The 26327-nt window shown below is 39.5% G+C and overlaps 1 protein-coding gene, 2 long non-coding RNA genes and 1 pseudogene across 20 annotated transcripts in view, besides 1 other annotated feature; 3 read left to right on the top strand and 1 right to left on the bottom strand.

Annotated features, from left to right (window-relative positions):
• LRCH3 (leucine rich repeats and calponin homology domain containing 3) overlaps positions 1–26327 on the bottom strand; it is a 97211-nt gene that overhangs the window by 35775 nt on the left and 35109 nt on the right. For all 18 annotated transcript variants that reach the window (XR_007095758.1, XR_007095759.1, XR_007095760.1 and 15 more), the window contains exons 5-13: positions 25648–25784; positions 22989–23098; positions 21799–21892; positions 20345–20465; positions 16840–16988; positions 13265–13341; positions 5202–5253; positions 4641–4790; positions 42–101 (exon numbers count right to left, since the gene is read on the bottom strand). Coding sequence is in view for 14 of the 18 variants with exons in the window: in NM_001363887.1 (NP_001350816.1) it covers positions 42–101; positions 4641–4790; positions 5202–5253; positions 13265–13341; positions 16840–16988; positions 20345–20465; positions 21799–21892; positions 22989–23098; positions 25648–25784 (950 nt within the window). In the remaining 4 variants the exon portion in view is untranslated. The remainder of the gene's footprint in view (positions 1–41; positions 102–4640; positions 4791–5201; positions 5254–13264; positions 13342–16839; positions 16989–20344; positions 20466–21798; positions 21893–22988; positions 23099–25647; positions 25785–26327) is intronic.
• Positions 78–21387, top strand: LOC105374310 (uncharacterized). The gene is made up of 3 exons (XR_001741090.2): positions 78–1450; positions 18037–18134; positions 21308–21387. It is a non-coding gene; the product is annotated as an uncharacterized LOC105374310 (long non-coding RNA).
• Positions 1686–2300, top strand: RPL17P18 (ribosomal protein L17 pseudogene 18; annotated as a pseudogene).
• Positions 4400–4459: an enhancer, noted in NCBI's record as "active region_21121". NCBI's record gives its function as "activates an Ori minimal core promoter by ATAC-STARR-seq in GM12878 lymphoblastoid cells {active_cell/tissue: GM12878}" and the evidence as "EXISTENCE:reporter gene assay evidence [ECO:0000049][PMID:35858748]".
• LOC124909482 (uncharacterized) lies at positions 21439–21897 on the top strand. Its single transcript, XR_007096247.1, has 2 exons — positions 21439–21625; positions 21765–21897. It is a non-coding gene; the product is annotated as an uncharacterized LOC124909482 (long non-coding RNA).

The following is a 26327-nucleotide window of genomic DNA, read 5'->3' as shown; positions in this document are numbered from 1 at the left end:
AAATAATCAACTCCAAAGAAAAGGAGATTACATCAACTTACCTCACCATCTACGCCATCTAGGAGCGGGTGCTGTTTTTGTGGACTTTGTGATGCTTTTTGCTGTATAATCCCAAAACCCCCCAAAAAAGGAAGTTGGTTAGAGCCTGGAACACTGCAAATAACAAATTCTATTTACTAAAATAATCACTCAAATTAATTTTTTTACCTCTTGTTTATAGCATTTTTCTAGATTTACTAGTTAGAAAATGTTTAGCTAGAAATTTTAAAAACTATACATATATCTACACAAACACATTTATAATCAGAATATTGACCTCTTACTCGATGAACTTATTCTCTCCCTCTAATGGCTTTAGTATCACTCGAATGCTAATAACCTTAGCTAGAAGCAAATCTCAGGTTTGTGTTTTCAACTGTCTATGGAAACTCTCTACTTGGAAACCCCACTCCACCTCATATCTGACACATTCAAAAACAAACTCACAATGTCCCATACTAACTGGCTATTTTCTCCAACGTGTGATGTCTAATAATCTAATAATAACATTATAGCATTGGTGTGGTCCCTGCTTTACAACGTGCTCTACTGTATGTCACTGTGTACACAGTATTTCAGTGATTCTTCTACTGTGTGAGATAAAATATCATCATCATATTCATTTAGAGATGAGAAAATCGAGAAGAGAGGTTATGCGGCACGTGCAAGGTCTCCAAGTTCGTCAGCAGCATAACTGGTTTGGGCCTGCCTTCCGACTGCAAAGCCTGTGTTCTTTCCACAATGCTAGACCCTCATTTGAAACCATCTTTCAGCCTCCAAACCTTGCTTTGGGAGCTTCTTTTTTTTCACCCTCTTCAGTGATTTATTCACCATCTGTGATTTATTCACCATCTCTCTTATAGGTAATTCAGCAAATCCATTTTATTATAGTAATAGGGGATATAGCATCTACCATACTAGTATTAAGCATTAGGTATATCCATAATAATTCTGAGATAGTTAATATTTAATAGTTAAATATCACACACAGGAGGAACCTAACAGCATAAAATGGCTCAGTAGCTTTCTGAAAGTCAAGCGCACGGCAAGTGGCAAAGCTGGATTCAAATGCAGAGATTTCTGAATTTAGGCTCTTGTCACTGCAATACTGCCAACCCTTAGGACCTTTAGAAACCATCTGGTTTTTATGCCTTATTTTGCACCCTAGTCTAACTATTGCAATTTCCTTCTTCATTTTCCTCTTTCTAGTCTTTCTTCCTAACCAGTTCTAACGCAAGTCAATTAGTTTTTCAGAAGTCTCTCTCTTCTCATGTTTTTTCCTGCTTTGAAACTCAAGTGTTCTCTTTTACTTAATAGATCAAGATCCAACACTAATTTGACATTTAATCAAGACTCTCTACAAGTTGACTATCTCTTACTGGCTGTGTGACTTCTACGGAAGGCAAACTGAGTAAGTTAATTTATGCAAAACACATAGAACAGCACTTAAGATTCAGTGTTAACCATTATTACCGAGAGGCAGCATAGACTGTGCTCACAGAATAGGCTTCAGAGCCAACCTGCCTTGTTCTAATCACAGGATTTTAATCCTGCCACTTCCTGAGTATTTAATCTTAGTAAACTGTTATTCTCTCTGAGCGTGTTTCCTTGTTCATAAAAAGAAAAAATGGGCTCTTTCCCTAAGCAGCCTGAGGTAATCTGTGAAAAATGGTTCGCTATTCACTTGACCCGGAGAACCCCACGAAATCATGCAAATCAAGAGGTTCCAATCTTCGTGTTCACTTTAAGAACACTCGTGGAACTGCTCAGGCCACCAAGGGTATGCATATACGAAAAGCCACGAAGTATCTGAAAGATGTCACTTTACAGAAACAGCGTGTACCATTCCGACGTTACAATGATGGAGTTGGCAGGTGTGCGCAGGCCAAGCAGTGGGGCTGGACACAAGGTCGGTGGCCCAGAAAGAGTGCTGAATTTTTGCTGCACGTGCTTAAAAATGCAGAGAGTGATGCTGAACTTAAGGGTTCAGATGTAGATTCTCTGGTCATTGAGCATATCCAAGTGAACAAAGCACCTGAGATGTGCCGCCGGACCTACAGAGCTCATGGTCGGATTAACCCATACATGAGCTCTCCCTGCCACATTGAGATGATCCTTATGGAAAAGGAACAGATTGTTCCTAAACCAGAAGAGGAGGTTGCCCAGAAGAAAAAGATATCCCAGAAGAAACTGAAGAAACAAAAACTTACGGCACGGGAGTAAATTCAGCATTAAAATAAATGTAATTAAAAGGAAAAAAAAAAAAAAAAAGAAAAAATGGTACCTAAAGAGAGTTGGGAGAATTAAATGAGTAAATATATATAATGTACTTAAAATAGTGCCTACTACATAATAAGCATTCAATAAGTTTTAAGTACGATTATCATCATCTCAATAATTCATTTTTCCCATAAGTCTTCAATACAAACTCTCCAGGCCAGCTGGTGTTTCCTGCAAGTGCCATTATTTTAAATCTACAAATCACACAAGGCCATTCCCAGCTCCCATCCTGTTTAGATTTCCTCAGCCTAAAACGAACCCCCCTTTACACCATCATCCAGTCTTTTCTTCCTGGCTAAATCCTACCTACTCACTCTTCAGGGTCCCTATAATTTCTTTTTGAGGTCAATTCTGATGATACTTGTTCTCTAAGTCTTCTACTGTCTTGAATATAAAACTAGCACTTTCATTATAAGCTGCCTTATTTTCTGTTTTATTTGTGTTTATTTCCCTGATAAGGTCTAAGCTGTGCCTGGTGGGCAGGGCTTGTATTTTATGCATCTTTATATTCCTTGTACAACCAGCATTCCATAAAGGTCTATCAAGTCAAATGGACGAACCAAGTTAGGCTTTCAGAAGTCTAGGTTTGCCTCCTGATTAAGAAAACAAATGTACTATAAATGACCACATTGCTTAATCTTCCTAGACCTACAGCTTCCTCATCTGTGAAACCTGAACACCTCCAAATGACCTATTAAGAATAAACCAATAAAGTATTTCCGTTAGTTTCAAGAGAACTATATAAAAAAGTTTGTATGTAGTAACAAATCAAGCAGGGACTTAAGGGAAAGAGAAATGGTTAGACAAATTAGGAGATATAGTATGTATAGTATTAGATGACTTGTGTGAAAATACAATGACAGAGATAAAGGAGGACAAGAGAACATGGCCATTAGTACATTAACAATTCTTATGAGGGTTGAAAAGGCACAAAAAGAAGAAACATCTCAGGGCAGACAAGGTTTTGAGGGAGGGAGGTACCTTTGTGAACTTCTGCTTGTAGGAATATTAATTTTAGTATTTTTGCTATTGGTCAAAAGATTTGCCTACTTTTTTTTTTTTTTTTTTTTTTTTTGAGGTGGAGTCTCACTCTGTCAACCAGGCTGCATGAAGTGCAGTGGTACGATCTCAGCTCACTGCAACCTCCGTTTCCTAGGCTCAGACAATTCCTCCACTTCAGCCTCCTGGTTAGCTGGGATTACAGGCATGCACCACCACGCCCAGCTAATTTTTTTATTTTTACTTGAGACAGGGTTTTGCCATGTTGGCCAGGCTGGTCTCAAACTCCTGACCTCAGGTGATCCACCCACCTTGGCCTCTCAAAGTGCCGGGACTACAGGCGTGAGCCACCACACCCGGCCAGATTTGCCTGCATTTTTATAGAAAACAAGAGACAAGGGAACTTGTTGGATGAAGAGGAATCAGGTGAGAAAGAGAGTTAAACGTCATTGCCAAGGGTCTGGTACATTCAGAAAAAAAGAGTTTATCAGGTAAAACAGTAAAACAGACATACGCATCGTACTTAAAGGAGATGGTCTCTAGTTAAAGTATGAAATACAGGAAAGTCTTTAGTGGACAAGAAAAATTCATTTAATCATTCAACAAATACTTATTGACCATTACTATGAGCTAAGACCTGCTAAGGTCTAGGGACACAGCAGTAAGTAAAACAGACATGGTTCTTACCTTCATGGAGTTTACAGATAAATGAGAGACAGATATTAAGTAAACAAAATTACAAATAATTAATTATGAAGAAAAAATGACGATTTCAGAACAAAAAGATAAGCAATACAGGTAAAATAAAATGACAACATTTCAGGCACTACTATAGAGGCTGCAAAACGTTAAGAAATATTAATGGCGTTGTTAATTGGATGTGTGTGGAGAGCAGAAAGGAACAAATCAAAGTTCCTGCAAAGGATTAAGCCTGTGAGGCTAGCAAACTTTTGTTATTTACAAAAGCGAGGAAGCTGGAGAGAGGTCTGAGTAACAGTTTGCATCTGCACGGGCCTTTTATGGTTCACACAGCACTTTCACTTTCATCTTACTGATCTTTACTATGACACTAGAAATTGAGGAAATGGCAGCTGGATAGTAAAGTGACATGTCCAATGACAGATTTACCGTTAACAAGATAATCACTTGTTCTGTCCTCATGCAGATAGACACAAGTAAAAGAGACACTCTATTTAGTCAAGATTCCTTACAGAGAGAAAAATGGTCGACATTTTAATGGACAATAAAAACCAACGGGCCTGACCAAACAAATAAGCACTTAGCCAGTCAGCAGCTTGAACAGCATCATTCAAACGACTCACTTTGACAAAGTCCAGGACAGCATCTCTCTGGATCTGCTTGGTCCTTATTTTCTCCTCCTCATACTGCAGGGCAGCAAGCTGAGCCTCTCTCCGAGTGCGCTCTACTAACTGCTCCCTTCTCTGATGAAGTTCCAGGTCTGTGTGTGACAGCTGGAACCAAAGCGTTATTGTGCATACAAAAGTAAAAATGAGGATCACGTTACCAATATTCCCTATCAATTTAGGGAACTACTGTTGACCCATGCAACTTTTGCTTTGAAGTCACCTAGCATTGCTTGAAATGTGTTTATTGGCTAATCTTTTCCCGTCTTTGCACGGTTCTTATATGTATTAGGTTGGTGCACCAAACTAATACTATAAAGCCATCATGAAGGTAAAGATTTTCTATCTAGTGTCTAAAAACACTGTTAGCAAGTATCACGTACATATGTTATATTAATCGATTGAGACAGCTAGTAATGCTTAAATATACCTGGCAATTAATGGCAATTTAAGTATTATAAAAGAAAAAAAATCATCTTAGTTTAAAAAGCAAAAATAAACACAACTACTAAACATTACCTGATTGTGACTTGCTGATAGTGACAGGAGGGAAGATGGCTCAGCTGGAACCCTGACCCAAAAAAGAAAAAAGAAAGAAAAAAACTCTTTGATAAAAAGACAAACAGATACATAAAAAACAAATGAAATTTTTATTGTAAATGTAGCTTTCTATTAATCAGTAGCAAACTGCCTAGTTAGCATTGAAGGAGTAGCTGCATTTTGTAAACCTAAGTCCAAGTCATTAAGTGAAACCAGAGGAAAATCTGATGCCTCCAACTCACGTTTCATGTGGTATCAACTGTCTATGTCAGCCAATACCAACAATACAGTTAATTGAGATCACCTTGCAAACAGCATCATTTCTTTATAACACAAATAACTATTATCTTCGTTACCACCATGATTAAAACACGATACATGTAAACTGAGATCCTTTTACATACAGTCATTTTTATCAACTACAGAACCTCGTAACTGTACTTATAAAGCACACCTGCTCTTATTTTCAATCGATGAAGCAATTTTAACACAGAAATAAAGATTCTGGTTTTTTTATTTTTAAGAAAAATACAAAGCCCTTTTTAATGCTTAAAAAAACAAAAAAAAAGTAGTACTTCCTTCTCACTGCTATCAGTGTTAATTCTTATAGTTTACTATTTATCCTTTTCCTGAAACAGATTTCATTGCTCAAGTCTCTGTAACTCATCTTTGTGTCTGAAACTAAAACTGGCAAGATTAGTTACTGTCTGACGTTTAGGACGTGGCCTCCAAAACTATGATGATTAGCCTATCAGGCTGATCTACAGGCACTGAAATCAGTGTGCTAATTAGGGCAACCAAAAAAAACCCATCATCATGGCTCACTGCAGTCTTGACCTCCTGGGCTCCAGCCATCACGCCCAGCTGTCTTTGTTTTTTTTGTTTTTTTTTTTTTAATTTTTCTGTGGCAATGAGGGTCTTATTATGTTGCCCAGGCTGGTCTCAAACTCCTGCCCCTCAAGCCATCCTCCCACCTCAGCCTCCTAAAGTAATTGGATTACAGGCGTGTGAGCCACTGCGCCCAGCCGTTTTTTTTTTGTTTTTTTTTTTTTTTGTGGCCCAAGGTGGAGTGCAATGCCGTGATCATGGCTCACTGCAGATTCGACCTCCTGGCCTCAAGCGATAATATCGCCTCAGCCTTTCGAACAGCTGGCCTACAGGTGTGTGTCAACCAACCCAGGCTTATTTCTGCAGTTTTTGTAGAGACCGGGTTTTGCTAGGTTAACCCAGGTCGCTCTCAAACTCCTGAGCTTTCAAGTGATCCACCCACCGAGGCCTCCGAGTGCTGGGATTACGGGTGTGGGCCACCACGCCACGCCCTGATTACACATTTAGAGTAACAGGAATTAACTGCAACTTTCTCCCTAGATTACTAATTTCACTGTTAAAATTTCCCATAGCTTTTAGCGGCCATCTGTAGATGAACTGAAACAAAACATAGAAAGGACCAAATAAACCAACTCAAGTGTGTTTATGTGCCCTAACCTGAACACTAAACTTTAAAAATGCTTTTCAATTTTTGTTTTGTTTTGTTTTGAGACAGAGTCTTGCCCTGTCACCCAGGCTGGAGTGCAGTGGCACGATCTCGCTCACCACAACCTCCACCTCCCAGGTTCAAGAGATTCTTCTGCGTCAGCCTCCTGAGTAGCTGGGATTACAGGCATGCGCCACCACACTCGGCTAATTTTTGTATTTTTAGTAGAGACGGGGTTTCACCATGCTGGCCAGGCTGGTCTTGAACTCCTGACCTCAGGTGATCCACTCACCTCAGCCTCCCAAAGTGCTGGGATTACAGGTGTGAGCCACCATGCCCAGCCGCTTTTCAATTTTTTAATACACACTTTCTTTCTACTTTCTTAAGCACTTTCTAGTGCTTAAGAAATATTGCTTGAATGAATGACAGTAGCACCCTCCCCCGAAAAAGCATGGAATACTGAGACATAAAAAACAAAAATGCAGATAACATGTATGTATCTCCTTTAAATCTTCTTTCTACCTATGTTTCTTTCTTTCTTTCTTTTTTTTTTTTTTTTGACAGAGTCTCATCTCACTCTGTTGTCCAGGCTTGAATGCAGTGGTGCGATCTCAGCTGAGACCTCCACCTCCCAGAGTTAAGCAATCCTACCTCAGCTTCCCAAGCAGCTGGAACTACAGGTGTGCACCACCATGCCTGGCTAATTTTCATCTATTTTTGGTAGAGATGGGGTTTCGCCATGTTGCCCAGGCTGGTCTTGAACTCCTGGGCTCAAGCAAACCACCCACCTTAGCCTCTCAAAGTGCTGGGATTACAAGTACATAGATTCATTTACCCTCTTTTTACAATACTTCTCTAAAAAGCCAGTCAAACCCATTGTTTCCACTTTATCTCATTACTGTATTTTGCACCCAATCCAATCTGCGTCCCGTCCTTTCAGTTTCACTAAAACTTTCTTTCACCTCACAAGTCTGTCAATGATCTTGACATCCCCAAATCCAATAGCTATTTCTTAGTCCTCCCCTTATTAAACCTATCAGCAGGGCCGGGTGCAGTGGCTCCCGCCTGTAATCCCAGCACTTCTTTGGGAGGCCGAGGCGGGCGGATCACAAAGTCAGGAGATAAGAGGCCATCCTGGTCAACATGGTGAAACTCCGTCTCTACTAAAAAAATACGAAAAACTGGCCAGGTGTGGTGGTGCGCGCCTGTAGTCCCAGCTACTCAGAAGGCTGAGGCAGGGGAATCGCTTGAACCTGGGAGGTGGAGGTTGCAGTGAGTCAAGATCGCGCCACTGCACTCCAGCCTGGCGACAGAGTGAGGCTCCATCTGGGAAAAAAAAAAACAAAAAACCTATGAGCAGTAAGTGATGTTATTCATTCCTCTCTATACTTCTTCAAACACTGTTTTCAAGGCTAGGCACAGTGGCTCATGCTTTTAATCCCAGCATTTTGGGAGGCCAAGGCGGGAGGATCTTGAGTCCAGGAGATCAAGGCTGCTTATGAGCTATGATGACACCACTGCACTCCAGCCTGGGTGACAGAGACGTGTCTCAAAAAAACAAAAACAACAACCATTCTCATTTAGCCTCTAGGACACCACCCTCTTTCTCCTATCCCCATGACCACCCCACTCAGTTTGTTTTTCTGGTTGTTCAAGCCCTAATTCTTGCCACCTTACTCCAAACTCATAAATCTAACTGCTTACTTGATAATTCCACTTGGATGTCTTGTAGGTACCTGAAATAGAACATAACCACAGCAGAACTCTCATCTCACATCCCAGATTTGTCCTGCTTTACTCAGACTCCTGGGTGTTTCTTGAATACACCAAAAGCATGTTCCTACCTCAGAACCTCTACCTAGAACGTTTCACCCCTAGACATCCATAATGTTTGCTCTTTTTCAGGTTTCTACTGAAATATTATCATGGCATCTAACATTACTTGCACTCTTCCCTCACCCTACCATCTCTTTTATCCTGCTTTATTTTTCTTCATAGCACCTAGCAGTACCTGAAACATGCTTGTTACATATATTTGTCTACATCCACTAAAAAGTAACTCTAAAATATCAGGGATTTGGAACAGAGACAGAACCACTATAGTGCTTAAGAAATATTGCTTGAATGAATGACAGTAGCACCCTCTCCCGAAAAAGTGTGGAATATTGAGACATAAAAAAACAAAAATGCAGGTAACATGTATGTATCTCCTTTAAATCTTGAACTTACTTGAGCTAAGTAAACCAGACTTTTATCTCTATAAGGCAGACTTTTTTTTTTTCTTTTGAGATGGCGTATCTGTTGCCCAGGCTGGCGTGCAGGGGCACAATCTCAGCTCACTGCAGCCTCTGCCTTCTAAGTTCAAGCAATTCTCCTGCCTCAGCCTCCCAAGTAGCTGGGATTACAGGTGCATGCCACCACGCCCAACTAATTTTTTGTATTTTTAGTAGAGACAGGGTTTTGCCATGTTGGCCAGGCTGGTCTTGAATTCCTGACCTTAGGGGATCCACCTGCCTTGGCCTCCCAAAGTGCTGGGATTACAGGTGTATTACACCCGGCCAGTATAGTGCTGGGATTACACCCAGCACTATACAGGTAATACAGGTGTATTACACCTGGCCAGTATAAGGCAGACTAAACTGCCTTCTCTGTTTTTCTTTATTTACAAAATCACATAATTAATGTGAGTAGCTTTTCTGGCTGTGTCTATATAACATGAAACAAAAAAACTTCCAGGTTTTATCTAAATGTTAATTCTATATTGCTTCTTATAGAAGCTATAACACACTTTACAGAACCTAGTCTGGTATTATCATCTCTCCTGAACTAAAATGCTATTCAAATTATAAGTAGGCCCTATAATTTTTTTTTTTTTTTTTTTAAGACAGAGTCTTGCTCTGTCACCCAGGCTGGAATGCAGTGGTGCAATCTCGGCTCACTGCAACCTCCACCTCCAGGGTTCAAGCGATTCTCCTGCCGCAGCCTCCCAAGTAGCTAGGACTATAGGTGCAAGCTACCACACCCGGCTAATTTTTGTATTTTTAGTAGAGATCAGGTTTCACCATGTTGGCCAGGCTGGTCTGGAACTCCTGAGCTCAGGTGATCTGCTGGCCTCGGGCTCCCAAAGTGCTGGGATTACAGACATAAGCCACTGCACCCAGCCCATAAAAAATTATTTTAACAATTTTTTTAAAACATAATTTTTGCTAGTTTCAATTTCAAATTTACATAATCCATCTTGGCAAATACTACAAAACATTCACACTTTTTATTTATTGTATCTCCCTATGTTTATGATCTCCCAGTAGGGTAGACTCTATGTGGGTAGCGGTAGGGGAGTGGTAGGTGGGAAGAAATGTATGTGTTGGATGAGGGTAGGGGAAAAGAACTGGAAGAAAAAAACGGGTAAGCAAGCTTTCCTTTTCAGCTCACTAGCAGAGGATTCCTTATGCTCACTCAATGTTTTTGAGTTGCTGTAACTGACAGACTGCTGAGGTAGAGTCTTTTTGTTAACATGTTATTCAGATTAGAGACAAGTCTTGCTGGTCTGAGAGCTGTCAGTCATTCTGAGGCGACTGTGTCTTTTTAGGTTCGAATTCAACATTTCACTTGAATGTAAGCTCCAGGAGTGCGGGAATTTTGACTAAGTTCATAGCTATATCCCAACATCTGGAAAGGAACTTGGCACATAGTAGATATTTCACAAATACCTGCTAATTAAAAACATGAAGTATATATTGATCCTAGAGCCTAACTGGTTACTAGGATCAAGTATGGAGTTCTTATCCAAGGACTGTGCTATGGAACCCCGAGTTAAACAGTAATCATGGCTGGGTGCAGTGGCTCACACCTGTAATCCCAGCGCTTTGGCAGGCCAAAGCAGGAGGGTTAGTACTTCAATCTGGGAGTCTGAGACCGGCCTGGGCAACATAGGGAGATTTCTGTCTCTCCTAAAAATAACAAAAAATTTGCTGAGTATGTAGCACACGCCTGAAGTTGCAGCTACTCCAGCGGCTGAGGTGGGAGGATTGCTTGAGCCTGGGAGGTAGAGGCTGCAGTGACCATGATCACAACACTGCACCCCAGCCTAAGGCAATAGAGCAAGACCCTGTCACAAAACAAAACAAAACAAAACAAAACAAAACAAAACAAAACATGTAATCCTAGCTTTAGTTTCCAGCACTGTGGCAGACTAAACGCCCTGAATGACTCTTCCAATGGAAATAACCAAAATGCTGAATAAAATAAAACAAGCTTTTAAAATGTATTGCTAAGGTGCCATGAAAATAAAGAATCCACAGACCTTCAAAAAGAAGTAAAAACAGGAACTCTGGACTAAGATGCGGTAGGCAGACTTTTGGCTTCCACGATCTCGGTCCCTGGCCTTACTCTAGTGAATGCTGTTGTATTACATTTAAAAAAGGCTTTGCAGATGAAATTAAGGTTACTAATCAGCTGGCCTTAAAATGGGGAGATTATCCAGGTTGACCTAATATAATCACGAGCCCTTAAAAGCAAAAGAATTTGCGAGATGTGGCAGAAAGGGAAGTAAGAAAGATTCCAAACATAAGGAGGATTTGGCCTGTCATTCCTGGTTTGAAGATGGAGGGAGCCATGAAGAAGGAATGTGAGTGGGCTCTAAACACCAAGAATGGCCACCAGCTGGCAGCCAGGAAAATAATGGGGACCTCAGTAATGGGGACCGGTAACTGCATCAAACTGAATTCTGCCAAGATGTAGGAGCGTGAAAATGAATTCTCCTCCACAGTCTCCACATGAGAATCCAGGCCAGCCGATACCCTGACTTTGGCCTCTAAGTAGAGAACCCAGCGGGGCCTGCCCAGGCTCTATCCTCCAGAAGTATAATATAATAAAGAGGTGTTGTTCTAAACTGCTAACTTTGTAACACAAGCAACAGAAAACTAACACATAAGGTAACTGAGTGAAAGAGCCAGCTTTTACCTTGAGGGTTTCTACTAAATCCTGGAGCTCTTGAGCTTCACCTATGATGGATGCAGGACGTGAGAGGGGCAGGAGATATAAAATGCAGGCCCACTCAAGGTGGGGAATGTAACTGGAAACTCCTGCATAAAACTGGAATCTTAAAAGACTACACTCTCAATAAAAGGACACGTGGCAACTGAAAAGACATTCTGAAATAAATTTCAAAGCATATCAAATTTAATTAAATCTCCATGAGTTAAGTGATAAGAGTATAAATGTCACAGTGATGTCTGTCTTTTTTCTCCCTACACATTTATTCCATCTATAGCTCAGTCCCCCGAGTTACCTTTAATACCTTGTCAAGTATAAGAACTACGTAAATTCACCGTCACTTAAGAATAGGTGTACCAAGACTTCATAAAACCAGAAGGCAAAGAACTAAAGGCTGAAATTTCCAACTACTGTGAAATTCTTCATGGCAAGAAACATTCTGGAATTCAAGAATGAGAAGCAGTGCTCTAAACGATCAAGCTAATTTTCAAAATATTCTTTTTTTGGTTTTTTTGAGATGGAGTCTCAGTCTGTCACCCAGGCTGGAGGGCAATGGTGCGATCTCGGCTCACTGCAACCTCCGCCTCCTGGGTTCAAGCGATTATCCTGCCTCAGCCTGGAGACTACAGGCATGTGCCACCTGTAGCTGGAATTACAGGCGTGTGCCACCACACCCAGCTATTTTTTGTATTTTTAGTAGAGACGGCGTTTCACCACGTTGGCCAGGCTGGTCTCGAACTCCTGACCTCAAATGATCCACCTGCCTCAGCCTCCCAAAGTGCTGGCATTACAGATATGAGCCACCGCACAGGGCCTAATTTTCAAAATATTCTGAGAGGCACCAAGTACAGTGGAAAGAGTGTATTAACGGAGACAGGACTGGTGATACATATCACTGTCTCTGACTATTTCTCTCTGTTATCCAGTCAAAAATGTAAGTTAAAAAAAATTAGAACTCTCGAAATTCGTTTTTTGTATTTTGTATTTTTTTTTTTTTTTGAGACAGGGTCTCACTCTGTTGCCCAGGTTGGACTGCAATGGCACAAACTGGGTTCACTGCAGTCTCACCCTCCCAGTTCGAGCGATCCTCCCACCTCAGCCTCTGAGTTGCTGGGACCACAGGCATGCACCACCATGCCAGGCTATTTTTTTTTCTTTTTGTAGAGGGGTAGAATGATGCTCAGACTGGTCTCAAACTCCTGGGCTCAAGCAAGCCTCCCGTCTTGGCCTCCCAAAGTGTTGGGATTACAAGTGTTAGCCACTATGCCCAGTCCTGAAATTCTTTTAGCCCTTTTTGTGCATGAATCCATATAGCTTCACCACAAAATCTCATTGCTACTAAGTATCTTCAGATCGATTAACTGTGTAGGTAATGATTTAGATGGTCTCAATTTAGAATCAAATCAGTTTTTACCTTTTCTATGGCATGAGTACAAAAAAGCACACCGTCGCTCAGTTCTAAATACATGCCATGTAAACATCTTTATTACACACAGATCTGCATAAAACCAAAATTACTTTATGCTCTCATGATTAAGACAGAAACAAATTAAGTAGAATTGGTTTTTCAAACCTGTTTTGATGTAAATATCTTCTCATATCTTCTGTTTTTTGAAACTCCCTAATGGCTACTGGCTTTACTGGTGAACCCTAGGCCAGAGGACAGAAATAAATAAATTTAGTATATTAATCCAGAACACTGCGATTACACAGTTCACATCCAATTTGTCATTTAATTTATATATTACACTAAAAAACATTTTAATAGACTCTTCAAATGTAAACTTTAAGTTTAAAAGCATCATATGCTATACTGCTGCTTTAATAAACAAAAACATTCACAATCCACAAACATTTATTTTATTTTATAAGAAAGTAGATTTCCTTCTCACTGTATTATATACATTACAGTGACCAAGCACAGTAATATTTACTGAATAATAAGATGTTAGAATTAGAAAGGAACCGAAGAGGTCACTAACAGACTTCCATTTAGGACAGAAATTCCCACCTACCCTACCCTAACATTTGCTCAGTTTCTCTTGAATATTTCTGGTAATAGTGAGTTCACTGGGCAGGTTACATTTCTTTATTTATCCATCACAACAAATTGTCTCTTATCATACTCATACAAACAGTCTTGAGTGTGTCGGTGAATATCAAGACAAAACAAAAAGTAATTTCTATTTATGGTAAAATACCGTATTTAAAAGGAAAATATTATTGGCAATTTTACTTATCTACAAACCAAAGAGTAAAACGTCATTTTCAAAAAGTATTACTGAGGAAAATTAAACTGGTTTAAAATACAGACCACGCACTGAAAAATAAAATTATAAATCAAAGGTAGAGGATTAAAGGTTATCAAAGGAAAACCTATAGAAGCAATACAATCTTGTTTCAACACCAAAAATAATCATCAAAATGGTTATTCATCAAGGGAAAAATAAGAAAACAACTTTCCCAAAAAGGATATCTACAAATCAAACATAAAACTACTTACCATCTACTTCCAAGAAATAGCATCTACCTCCAAGAAACAGGTATATCACACATCATTAGAAACTTTTGGTGAGTTACTTCAAAGGGCTAACAACTGACTGTCTTAAAGTCTGGACATGAGATCCCAAATAATAAACTACAATTCTACAACTCTGATGCAAAAATAATTTCTCTAATTTTAGTGAAGACACCATTTTAAAATTTTTGCTTATCTGGAGACAGAGTGTCGCTATGTGGCCCAGGCCGGCCTCAAACTGCCGGGCTCAAGCAGTCTTCCTACTTCAGCCTCCCGAGTGGCTGAGACTACAGGAAGGAGCCACCAGGCCAAGCTACACCACTTTAAACAATAAACACAAATCTCTCCTAGGACGCTGTACCAGTGGCTTACCACCCTAGTTTTTTTTTTTTGGATACAGAATCTTGCTCTGTCACCTAGGCTGGAGTGCAGTAGCACAATCTCGGCTCACTGCAATGTCCGCTGCCCAGGTTCAAGTGACTCTCGTGCCTCAGCCTCCCGAGTGGCTGGGATTACAGGCACCTGCCATGACACCCAGCTAAGTTTTTTTTTTTTAATATATATTTTTAGTAGAGACAGCGTTTCTTCATGTTGGCCAGTCTGGTCTCAAACTCCTGACCTCAAGTGATCCACCTGCCTTGGCCTCCCACAGTGCTGGGATTACAGGTGTGAGCCACCATGTCCAGCCCCATCCTAGTTTTATGATACTGCAATTATCTAAAATTATTCTAAGAGGCACACGAAATTTTCATGACAAAATGAATGTGACATTGGTTTAATTAAAAAAAAAATCATACCATGTTCAGACAGGAATGGTCTATGTATGTGACAAGTATTATAATAAAATTAAATAATAGTAGAGTGTTTAACACCTCACATAGGTTAGTTTTTAACATTCCATTTTTAGATAGTGTTCAGGAAAATAAAAAGATACTTCACTGGTTGTGAAACCATCTAAAATAATGCTGCCTCATCACATTTTCACAGATGCTAAATTTTACGAAAGCTTTATGACACAGAAGTCATAAAGACTACCATACGTAACAGGCAGCCAGAATTTTAAAAATATTATTACAAAACAATACAATGAATTAAAGAAATACTATTTTTTTATAGTAGTATAATAGGCATTTTCACTTTTAGTAGAGATACTCCATTTATACAGCCTAAGTAACCATAACATGATCAAAGAGAAAGACCAGGAAAAAAGAAAATGAATTCCTTTAAGGATTATAATGTGTCATTTTTAATTTTATTGCAAAATAGTTAGTTGCCCCTTGCTCCAGCAGCCTCAACAAGTAGTTTCATCAGTCACCTAGTACACTGCCATCTCTGGGCTGTAGGACTTTGACTTATCTAATTTTATCCAACTTTAAATACAAGTATGTCTCTTTACCAACAAAAAATACGGTGTTCAAAAGTATTCAGATAGGAAAAACCAAGGCCCTTTTTTTAAAAAAAAGAATGATAATACTGGCTGGGTGCGGTGGCTCACACCTGTAATCCCAGCACTTTGGGAGGCTGAGGCGGGCAGATCACCCGAGGTCAGGAGTTTGAGACCAGCCTGGCCAACATGGTGAAACCCCGTCTCTACTAAAAATATAAAAATTAGCCGGGCATGGTGGCAGGTGCCTGTAATCCCAGCTACTCGGGAGGCTGAGGAAGGACAATCACTTGAACCTGGGAGGCAGAGGCTGCAGTAAGCCGAGATCGTGCCAAGGCACACCAGCCTGGGCGACAGAGTGACTCTGCTTCATTAAATAAAGAATGATAATATCACTCTACAACATGTCCCACTTGAAATGATTATTCTCTATTTCTTTTTTTTTCTTTCCTTTTAGCTGTCTCAGACCAAAGAGATTCTTCTCTATTTCTAAAAGGATAATACATCATTCTCTAAAAGGGCCCAAGTGTTTCTCAAATAATCACTGCTCAGAGCCTGAAACCAGCTCCAGACATCAACATCACATCCACTAAAGTGAAGCCATTTTATTATGCTGACAAGATAGACTGAAGAATGCTATTCTATCTGAGACCCTTGGGGAATTGGCAGAGATTCTGTAGTGGGCTGAATGCACATTTGTTTTCTAAGGCAATTCAATGCTCCACTTAAGAGATACCCAAGAACTTTAATAGCAAACAATTTACATTCTGTGTGACTTAGCACAAAAGCTCCAATATAATTCAGCATATTATAAAAATTCTATGGTTAAGTCTGCATGTTGCCACAAAAGTCAACTTTTTGGTTTAACTGTTAATTAACTACTGACCAAACTATGATTTATCAGTTAGTAACAATAAAAAAGCAATAAAAACAACAATGAAAAGCATCACTGTATTTTTCTTTGTACTTTCTTCCAAGGCCTTAACAGTACCTAGACTTCTTTTATTCCTCCTGCAAAATTCTGAAATCTTTCTTCTTGTTTGAAAAATAAACCTAAAGCCTACTTGAGGCTGCTGTCTGAGTTTTCTGAATAAATCTGAAAAACTCAGGACTGAAATCAGAAGTGAACATAATGAAAACAATTAGGCTTCAGTCAACAAATCACTGATATAACAAAACTTTATACTATTATGAATTATTTTTATGAAGGGATAGCAACATATTTAGGCTTCAATCTGTGTACTACCTCATGAGAGATTCGCCGCTGTTCAATATACGCCATAAACTGTGAACTAAGGCTGTCTGGGTCTGGTCCCTTGGGCTGTCTCACCTCGGCCTCCTCTTCCTCTGCGGTGCAGCTGTCTATGTAGTCAATCTGATCCAGATCATGTTCCACTGTATACACCACACACACACCCACACACACACACACACCAGAAAAAAACATTCAAATTAGATAGCCAATAAAAGACATTTACTTATTTCCTTTTCCCCATGATTTTCTATTTTGAAAGTGGGAGGGATGATAAAAACTTTAAATTACTTAAGTCTTTTTTTTTTTTTTTTTTTTTACCCATTTTATGTCCAAGGTTGGTGGCTCACGCCTGTAATCCCAGCACTTTGGGAGGTGGAGGTGGTGAGTGGATCACCTGAAGTCAGGAGTTCAAGGCAAGCCTGACCAATATGCTGAAATCCCGTCTCTACTAAAAATACAAAAATTAGCTGGGCTTAGTGGCACACGCCTGTAGTCCCAGCTACTCGGGAGGCTGAGACAAGAGAATTGCTTGAACCCGGGAGACAGAAGTTACGGTGAGCCAAGACCGTACCACTGCACTCCAGCTTGGGTGACATAGCAAGACTCCGTCTCAAAAACAAAAAAAAAATTAAATTAATTTTACTTATATTTTATTTTGTTTTGTTTTTTTGAGACAGGGTCTCCCTTTGTCATCCAGGCTGCAGTGCAGTGGTGCAATCTTGGCTCACTGCAACCTCTGCTTCTCACGTTCAAGCGATTCTCCTGCCTCAGCCTCCCAAGTAGCTGGGATTACAGGTGTGCACCACCACGCCCGGCTAACTTTTGTATTTTTAGTAGAGACGGGGTTTCACCATGTTGGCCAGGCTGGTCTCCAACTCCTGGGCTCAAGCGATCCGCCCACTGTGGCCACCCAAAGTGCTGGGATTACAGGCATCAGCCAACGTGCCTGGCACACAAGTGTTTATTATTTAGTTCATGGCCACTCACAAAAATAGGCTCCAGAAAACCTTAGTCCTAGTTCACTAAAGAATGTAGCAATTGATGATAATTATTGAAATAGAGACCTCTACCATTTTTCTTTGGACAGCTCCTTACTGTTTTAAACACAGTAGTTTCAGTTTGTGAGACAAAGAGCGAAGACCAATTTTTAAAGACTGAAAGGTGCATCTTTGTGTTTTCGTGTTTTAGGTCTGGGGCTTAATATCTCCGTGAGGAGATGGCAGGTGGAAAACCGAACACAGTCAACTCAAGAGAAAGTCAAAGGCCACACACAAAAAAGAGAAAAGGTAGGAGTAAACTGGACTCGAGAAAGAAAGAGTTTCTGACTACTATCTCCCTTCCTGTAATTGTTGTCAATTAAGCAGAAACAAAAAAGATCAGAACAAAGATTGTCCTATTTGGAAAACTATCTGCTAGAGGTCAGCAATGTAGATATTTTATAATAGTTTATGGATGGGAAGGGATTCATTTGAGGAGTTTCTTCTTCTCAAAATGCTTTAGGGTGAGGAGACGTATATAAATTATTTTTAGCCACATCTTGTTCATCTGCTAAGTTTGGGAATCCCCCATTATTTTTAAGTTTAAAAGTAATGAAACAACTACTTAAAATGGCACACTAGAAAAAAAAACTTCCTACTAAGATAGTTTTTCCAGAGATGCATTAAACCACAACCTGTTACTTCATGACGTTCTACAGGCTGCCTAAAAATCGCAGTTGCTGGAACAGTGAACTTGGGGAAGCCTATTTCTCAATTTAGTCTTCTGACTCAATTATTGACAAATAATTCTGTGACTACAATTAATATAAAATTGAATTTTGAGTTATTAGAGTTTTATTAATAGCTAAAAAAGATGAAAAGGTTCTAAGTTTACATCCACATTAGAAACCAGGTACATAAATGCATTTTTTAAATGTGCTAAAACTTTTCTGACTAAATTAATGGTTTATATTAAGACGATTTCTGAAGAAAGTAACTTTACTTCTTCATCCAATCTAGACCAGTGTGGCCAAAGAGAAAAATAACACAAGCCATGAAGGTGAACCACATATGTCGTTTGAAATTTTCTAGTAGCCATATTTTTTAAAGTAAAAGAGGCAGCATTAACTTTAATATTTTACATTGTCTAATATGTCTAAATATCACTTCAACATATAATCAATGCAAAATATTACTATTTTACACGCTTTTTTTCAAAGGAAGTCTTCAAAATCTGATGTGTATTTTATACTTACAATACATATCAATTTGGAAAAACCACATTTCTGATTTTTTTTCGAGATACAGTCTCATTCTGTCACCCAGGCTGGAGTGCAGTGGCGTGATCTTGGCTCACTGCAACCTCCACCTCCCGAGTTCAAGTGATTCTCCTGCCTCAGCCTCCCGAGTAGCTGGGATTACAGGCATATGCCACTATGCCCTGCTTTTTTTTTTTTTTTTTTTTTTTTTTCGGTTTTTAGTAGAGATGGGGTTTCACCATGTTGGCCAGGCTGGTCTCAAACTCTTGACCTCAAGTGATCCACCCGCCTCAACCTCCCAAAGTGTTGGGATTACAGGCGTGAGCCACCACGCCCAGCCTAAAAAAACACATTTCAAATACTCAATAATTATCACATGTGGCTAGTGGCTATCATACCGGCACAGATCTCAACATTATTTTAAGTCTTAAATAAACTGATGGAGAAAGATACCTCATATGAGAGAAACACTTAAAAGACAACTACTGAAATGTAAATGAAATGGTAACGACAGGAGTAAAGAATCTAAGATGGTAAGGAAAAGGACAGCAAACCATTTAATTGAAATCGTCACTGAGAAATGAAAGCTCTCCTCGGATAAGCAATAGGTTTCTGGAAAATCAAAGTTATTTTCCATTATAACTGGCCCTCAAAATTTAAATATGAAATTAAACATTAAACATTAAATTCAAACCAATTCAAGCAATACAGAATTGAATGCGAAAATCAAGAGTCTGCTTCGGAAGTATAAGCAAGTAGAGAGAGTGCTGCTTGCTAATGAACTACAAATTTTTTAATGTCAGAATAAGGAAAACTGTGATTCAGATGACTTTGAAGAGCATCTGACAATTCCAGGTGAAGAAAAGGTAAACACTGAAAAAAAAAAAAAAAAGGACTAAATTCCTAAAAGAGATCAAATAATGACCACAGCAAGAATCTTAAAAAGGGAGAATGTTACTTCAAAAGGTCGTGATTAAATCCAGATTAACAAAGATCTGCTCCAGGTGTACTGTCTCTAATAAAGTTTCCTCCCAAAATAAAAACAAGGGAGAAATAGTGTATTTTAACTCTGACTGAAACCAGAAATCATAGTTTCATCCCAATGGAAAATAGTATTTTTCAATCATATATGAAAAGAAGTCTTTAAAAGAAGAGTGAAGAAGCTATAGATACACCAACAAAAGGAGTGGGTATGAAAAAGACAACTTTAAAAAGTTAAATGGTTGCAAACACTTTAGCTGTCACCGGAATTATGTTTACCTCCGCCGTTTGTTACTACCAAACTGCCGCGGTTCTCTTGGTACTGGCTTTCTCTTCGTAGTCTTTGTTCTTTAGTAATCTCTGCTACTCGAAGAGGCAGATCTGAAAATTCATCTGTAGGCTTAAAAAAGAAGCAGAAACATTAAAAACAATCATTTTAGAGCCTGGCAGATCATGCCTGTAATCCATGCGCTTTGGGAGACCAAAGCAGGAGGATCACTTGAGGCCAGGAGTAAATTAGCTAGATGTGCTCACACATGCCTGTAATCCTAATACTTGGGATGTTGAGGCGAGACGATCGCTTCAGCCCAGGAGTTCGAGGCTGCAATGAGACAGGATTCCACCACTGCACTCCAGCCTGTGCGACAAAGCGAGATCCTATTTCAAAAAAATAAAAATCTGGTCTGGAGTGGTGGCTGATGCCTATAATCCCAACACTTTGGGAGACCAAGATGGGAATGACAAGCCCAGGAGTTTGAGACTAGCCTGGGCAATATAGGGAGAGCATGTCTCTAAAAAAAAATTTTTTTTAATTAGCCAGGCATGGTGGCATAAGCCTGTAGTCCCAGCTACTCAGGAGGTTTAGGTGGGAGGACTGCTTGAGCCATGGTCGTGCCACTGCACTCCAGCCTGGGTGAAAGAGCAAGACTCTGTCTCAAAAAATATAAAAGATTCATGACTCCATAAATTATATATATATAGATTTAAAATATCTACATATATATCTGTATTGATACAGCCACATTTATGAACCCACCCACCAAGACATACAAACACAAGTAATTCCAAATTTCAAATGGGATGTGGTCTAAAATTAATTTGGTTTCAATTCACAGTAAAACAATGTTATAAATAGTAGGTTATCAGTCTTGCTAACAAAAGTTTACTTAATAACTTAATGCATAGCTAAAATATTACACATTAGTAATTTTTATTTATTTTTTTACTTTTTTTCTTCTGTAGACCTCTGTGGACACAGTAATTTTTAAGAGCAGAAAACATAATATCAATAATTTAAAAACGAGAAAAACGACAGAATTAGCCAGGAAGTTATTCCTCTTGAGCACATGAATACTCTTTACTAAGGTCCTTGTCTCTACCCATCAGCCGAAAGTCCTACTTGTTTTCTCACCATCTAGCACCTCTGCTCGAGATTACCCCCCACCTCAGATTGTAGGCTTCAGTTTCAACTGGCTCAGCTCCTGTTTGCCTTTCTATGATATGAAACTATTTCCATGAGGCAATGAGGAAACAGGCGGAAATCCACGTGACAGAAAGCCGGTAAGGACGCAGAATGCCAATTCTGCTGGAGAGGGTGGGAATCTTGCCTCCACCTTGACTTTTCTGTATTTTATGTAGTGAGAAACTGAATCCAGTTAAGACGCTTTTCATTTTCATCATTCTGTTTTCTCTTAATCAGGTGTTATAACACACGGAACATAAAAAACACTTACTTCATTCCCTGACCATCTCTTATCACCACTGTCCACACTATTGAAGCCTGAATCAAGGGCTCCATAAGGGCGACTTGAGTACAGTTCTTCATGGCTGCCGAAAAGAGACTCTGTTACTGCAAAGTTTGTTATTTTAACAATTAAAATTTGAAATTAAACAGATCAATTTTCTAAAAAACAAGAAATGTGGCAGTCACTTAACTATTAGAACTAAATGGGCTTTAATTTTTTAATATGAAAAATTCCAAATAGAAACAAAGCAAACAGAATAGCATGAGACCTCATGTACTCATTATTATCCAGCTTCAAAACAATCACACCTCTGCAATTCTTGTTCGTCCAATGAGGCGAGTTTACTAGGACTGTGCTTTTAAGCAAAATTTGAGAGGTTCAAGAGAAGGCCTGAGAGGTTCTCTTTTGAGTAAAGTCCATAAACATTACTTCACTTTGACTGAAACATCTATCCTGCTTGTTTAAAGGCCTAAGAATTTAATTCTTGCTACTTAAGACTGCTCCATACTCAGGAGGCTGAGGTGGGAGGAATGCTTGAGCTCAGGAGTTTGAGACCAGGCTGGGCAACATAGTAAGACCTTGTTTCAAAAAAAAGAGATTGTTCCAGATGGTTGGGACTGCCAAGCAGATGACCTTATAAGTCACAGGCTGTGTAGCTGAGGGACTCATAGATTAAAAGATCCTGAAGTGATGTTAATGGTCAACAAATCCAACTCTTGACTCCTTGTAGAAAAAATGAAACTCAAAAAGTAGGAATGACTTGCCTTCGGCTAGTTACCTCAGCAGCAGAGCTAAAGTTAGCGTTCAAGTCACTCAGACCAGTAGTTTTCAACTGGAGGGCCCCAAGGTGACATTTGGAGACTTTGCGAGGGTACTACTGGCATCTATCTAATGGGCAGACACCAAGGATGCTGGTAAATGTCTTACAATGTACAGGACAGCCCATCACAACAAAGAATTATCTGATCTAAAATGTCAACAGTGCCAAGGTTGAGAAACCCTTAGAACTAGACTTTGCCAGATCTAGGTAATCAACTTTACAATACAAGCATTCTGAGAATAACAGTGTTAAAACAGGTTATTTCCCTTTAGTCAAACATTCAGGCAAATTTAAGTATCCATTTTATTTGATTCTCTGTACAAAAAATATGATAGATAAAGGGACAGAATATACTTACCAGGAGCCAAAACCCAACGGTCTCCTATCATAATCCGGCAGATCTGGAGCAATCTTACAAGCTTGTATGTTCAGGTATTTAAATATGTGGACTTTGCCTTTTATACATATCTAAATAAAGTCACACAGATGTAGCCAAATTATTACTCATCTGAAGTATGCTCCTTTTTATCATATCAACATTTTATGTAACATACATTGGGAAAGGGAGGCATTTCTATCAAGTACATACAGTAATATTTAAAAACTAATAAATTATATTATTTGGTTAAGTGTTATTTTAGGTGTTTAACTGGTAAATATGTTTTCATTTTCTAGTCACTAATACATTTCAGTAATATATAAATAAATAACTTTTGATTATACTGTTCAAATACCAAGTAAACTTATCACACTGACTAGTTTGCATAGTCAGAGATTTAAAGCATTTCTCCTCATTAGATTACATGAAGCAACTTTTACTTTTAGGAATCCAACAATCATATACAACTATGTTTTTGATTCTGCTTTGAGAGAGAAGAGCAGGAAATCATGAAACATTACATATATTTCTGTTGCTACTTGTCCCAGAAGTCAAAACACAAATTCTTGAGGCTTATAAGACCCTTCTATTGTTAGGAAGTTTACTCATAAAGTTTTATAGTTGCCATAAAGAGTAGCATATGCCGCCGGGCACAGTGGCTCACACCTGTAATTGCAGCACTTTGGGAGTCTGAGGTGGGTGGATCACCTGAGGTCAGGAGTTCAAGACCAGCCTGACCAACACGGTGAAATCCCGTCTGTACTACAAATACAAAAAATTAGCCGGGCATGGTGGCAGGCGCTTGTAATCCCAGCTACTCGGGAGGCTGAGGCAGGAGAATCGCTTGAACCCAGGAGGCGGAGGCTGCAGTAAGCCGAGATCGCACCATTGCACTCCGGCCTGGGCAACAAGAGCAAAACTTCATCTCAAAAAAAAAAAAAAAAAAAAAGAGTAACATATGCTTGTACAAAATCGTCAATAAACTGCAGAGTTAAAAAGAGCTAAGGGGGCCGGGCGCGGTGGCTCACACCTGTAATCCCAGCACTTTGGGAGGCCGAGGCAGGTGGATCATGAGGTCAGGAGATTGAGACCATTCTGGCTAACACGGTGAAACCCCGTCTCTACTAAAAATACAAAAAATTAGCCAGGCATGGTGGCAGGCACCTGTACTCCCAGCTACTTGGGAAGCTGAGGCAGAAGAATAGTGTGAACCCGGGAGGCGGAGCTTGCAGAGAGCCGAGATCGCGCCACTGCACTCCAGCCTGGGCAACAGAGCGAGACTCCTTCTCACAAAAAAATAAAAAAATAAAAGAGCTGAGGGAAAATAATGAGTTGGCAAAAATTTCTAGGTTGTAGGATGTCCAGCATCTACATGTAAAGCTACTTTATAATTATTACTGTATAGCTTCACTTCAGTCACTGGTAAACAAATGACCAAACTGTCTAAAGTAGGAATTTGTGACTTTAGAATTAGGAAGGTTATAATAACAATGATCAGAAAAAGAAATCTACTGATAGTTTTTAGCTCTGAAAGCTGAGTATTTTTATCTGTCTCTAGCATTTTTTTTTTTTTTTTGAGACGGAGTCTCACCCTGTCGCCCAGGCTGGAGTGCAGTGGCGCCATCTCAGCTCACTGCAGCCTCCACCTCCTGGGTTCAAGTGATTTTCCTGCCTCAGCCTCCTGAGTAGCTGGGACTACAGGCGCCCACCACCGCACCCGGCTAATTTTTGTATTTTTAGTAGAGACAAGGTTTCACCATGTTGGCCAGGATGATCTCGATCTCCTGACCTCATGATCTGCCCACCTCGGCCTCCCAAAGTGCTGGAATTACAGGCATGAGCCACCACACCTGGCCTGTCTCTAGCATTTATGGTGTCTACACTCAAATTTTACTAGAAAAAAATAAAGAAATTAACTAAAATTTTACAAGAAAAAATTAAGAAATTAACTAAAATTTTATTAGAAAAAAATTTAGGGAAGAATTCTTCAATTTAAAAAGAAATACCAATTTAGAGAAAGGAAAAATACTTCTGGAAACATTATCTTCTAATCCATTAATTCAAGGCTTCTCAAAAATACATATGTATGTGAATCCATTTTAAAAGAAATTATTTTCTAACCGAATGATAAATGTACATGAAATTTTAAATTTCATCCTTTGTCCAAAAAAAGTCCATGCGATGCTTCCACTATGGTTTACCTGATGCTTCCACTATGATTTGCCTGATGCTTCCACTATGATTTACCTGATGCTTCCACTATGGTTTACCTGATGCTTCCACTATGGTTTACCTGATGCTTCCACTATGGTTTACCTGATGCTTCCACTATGGTTTACCTGATGCTTCCATTATGGTTTACCTGATGCTTCCACTATGGTTTACCTGATGCTTCCACCATGATTTATCTGATGCTTCCACCATGGTTTACCTGATGCTTCCACCATGGTCTACCTGATGCTTCCACTATGGTTTACCTGATGCTTCCACTATGGTTTACCTGATGCTTCCACTGTGGTTTACCTGATGCTTCCACTATGATTTACCTGATGCTTCCACTATGGTTCACCAGATGCTTCCACCGTGGTTTACCTGATGCTTCCACCATGGTTTACCTGATGCTTCCACTATGGTTTACCTGTGCAGGAGGTGATTGTAGTGGATTGTTATCTAGGGTGATCGTCTGTAGGTGCCTGAGGTTCCGATAACAAACAGGGATTGTGGTAATTTTATTGCATGAGAAGTCTAACCGTATCAAAGGCAACTCCGCCAGCTCTGCAAGAAGGTAAAATGGAAATGAACAATTAATGATGTTTTACAACTAGAGAATTTTTACAAAGCTTCTAGTTAAATGTGATTTTAACATAGATATTTACTCCCATTCTCTTTTAGTGATTAACTGGTAGCAAAGTGGTAAAAATGAGAAAAGTGGTAGCAAAGTGGTAAAAATGAGATCCAGTTGCCTATAGACAGGATTACTAATAAAAAGCAGCTTTGACCCGCTCAGAACTACAGAAAGTCTCAGAAGCTGGAGGCCCTGATACCACAAGAAGGTGAGGATAACAAAAGGATTAGATAACACTCTACATAAAGAACAGTTAAATGCCTGGGTCAACAGCCCCCACTAACACAGCTGGGGCACTATCCTTCTCCAATGTTCCCAGGAATCAGCAAGTTATTTTCTAGTGAAATTGAATCAAAAATGCTCGGAACTAAGGGATCCCAGGCACAATAGGATGACAAAAGTCAGGAGGAGTTGCCAGCTAAAAATGGAGGAGTTAAGTCAAAGTCTACACACTTAACATTAAGACCTCAGCA

The sequence above is a fragment of the Homo sapiens genome, chromosome 3 (assembly GCF_000001405.40).
Source record: "Homo sapiens chromosome 3, GRCh38.p14 Primary Assembly".
In the NCBI taxonomy this organism is placed as follows: domain Eukaryota; kingdom Metazoa; phylum Chordata; class Mammalia; order Primates; family Hominidae; genus Homo; species Homo sapiens.
This window is presented reverse-complemented; position numbering and strand designations above follow the sequence as displayed.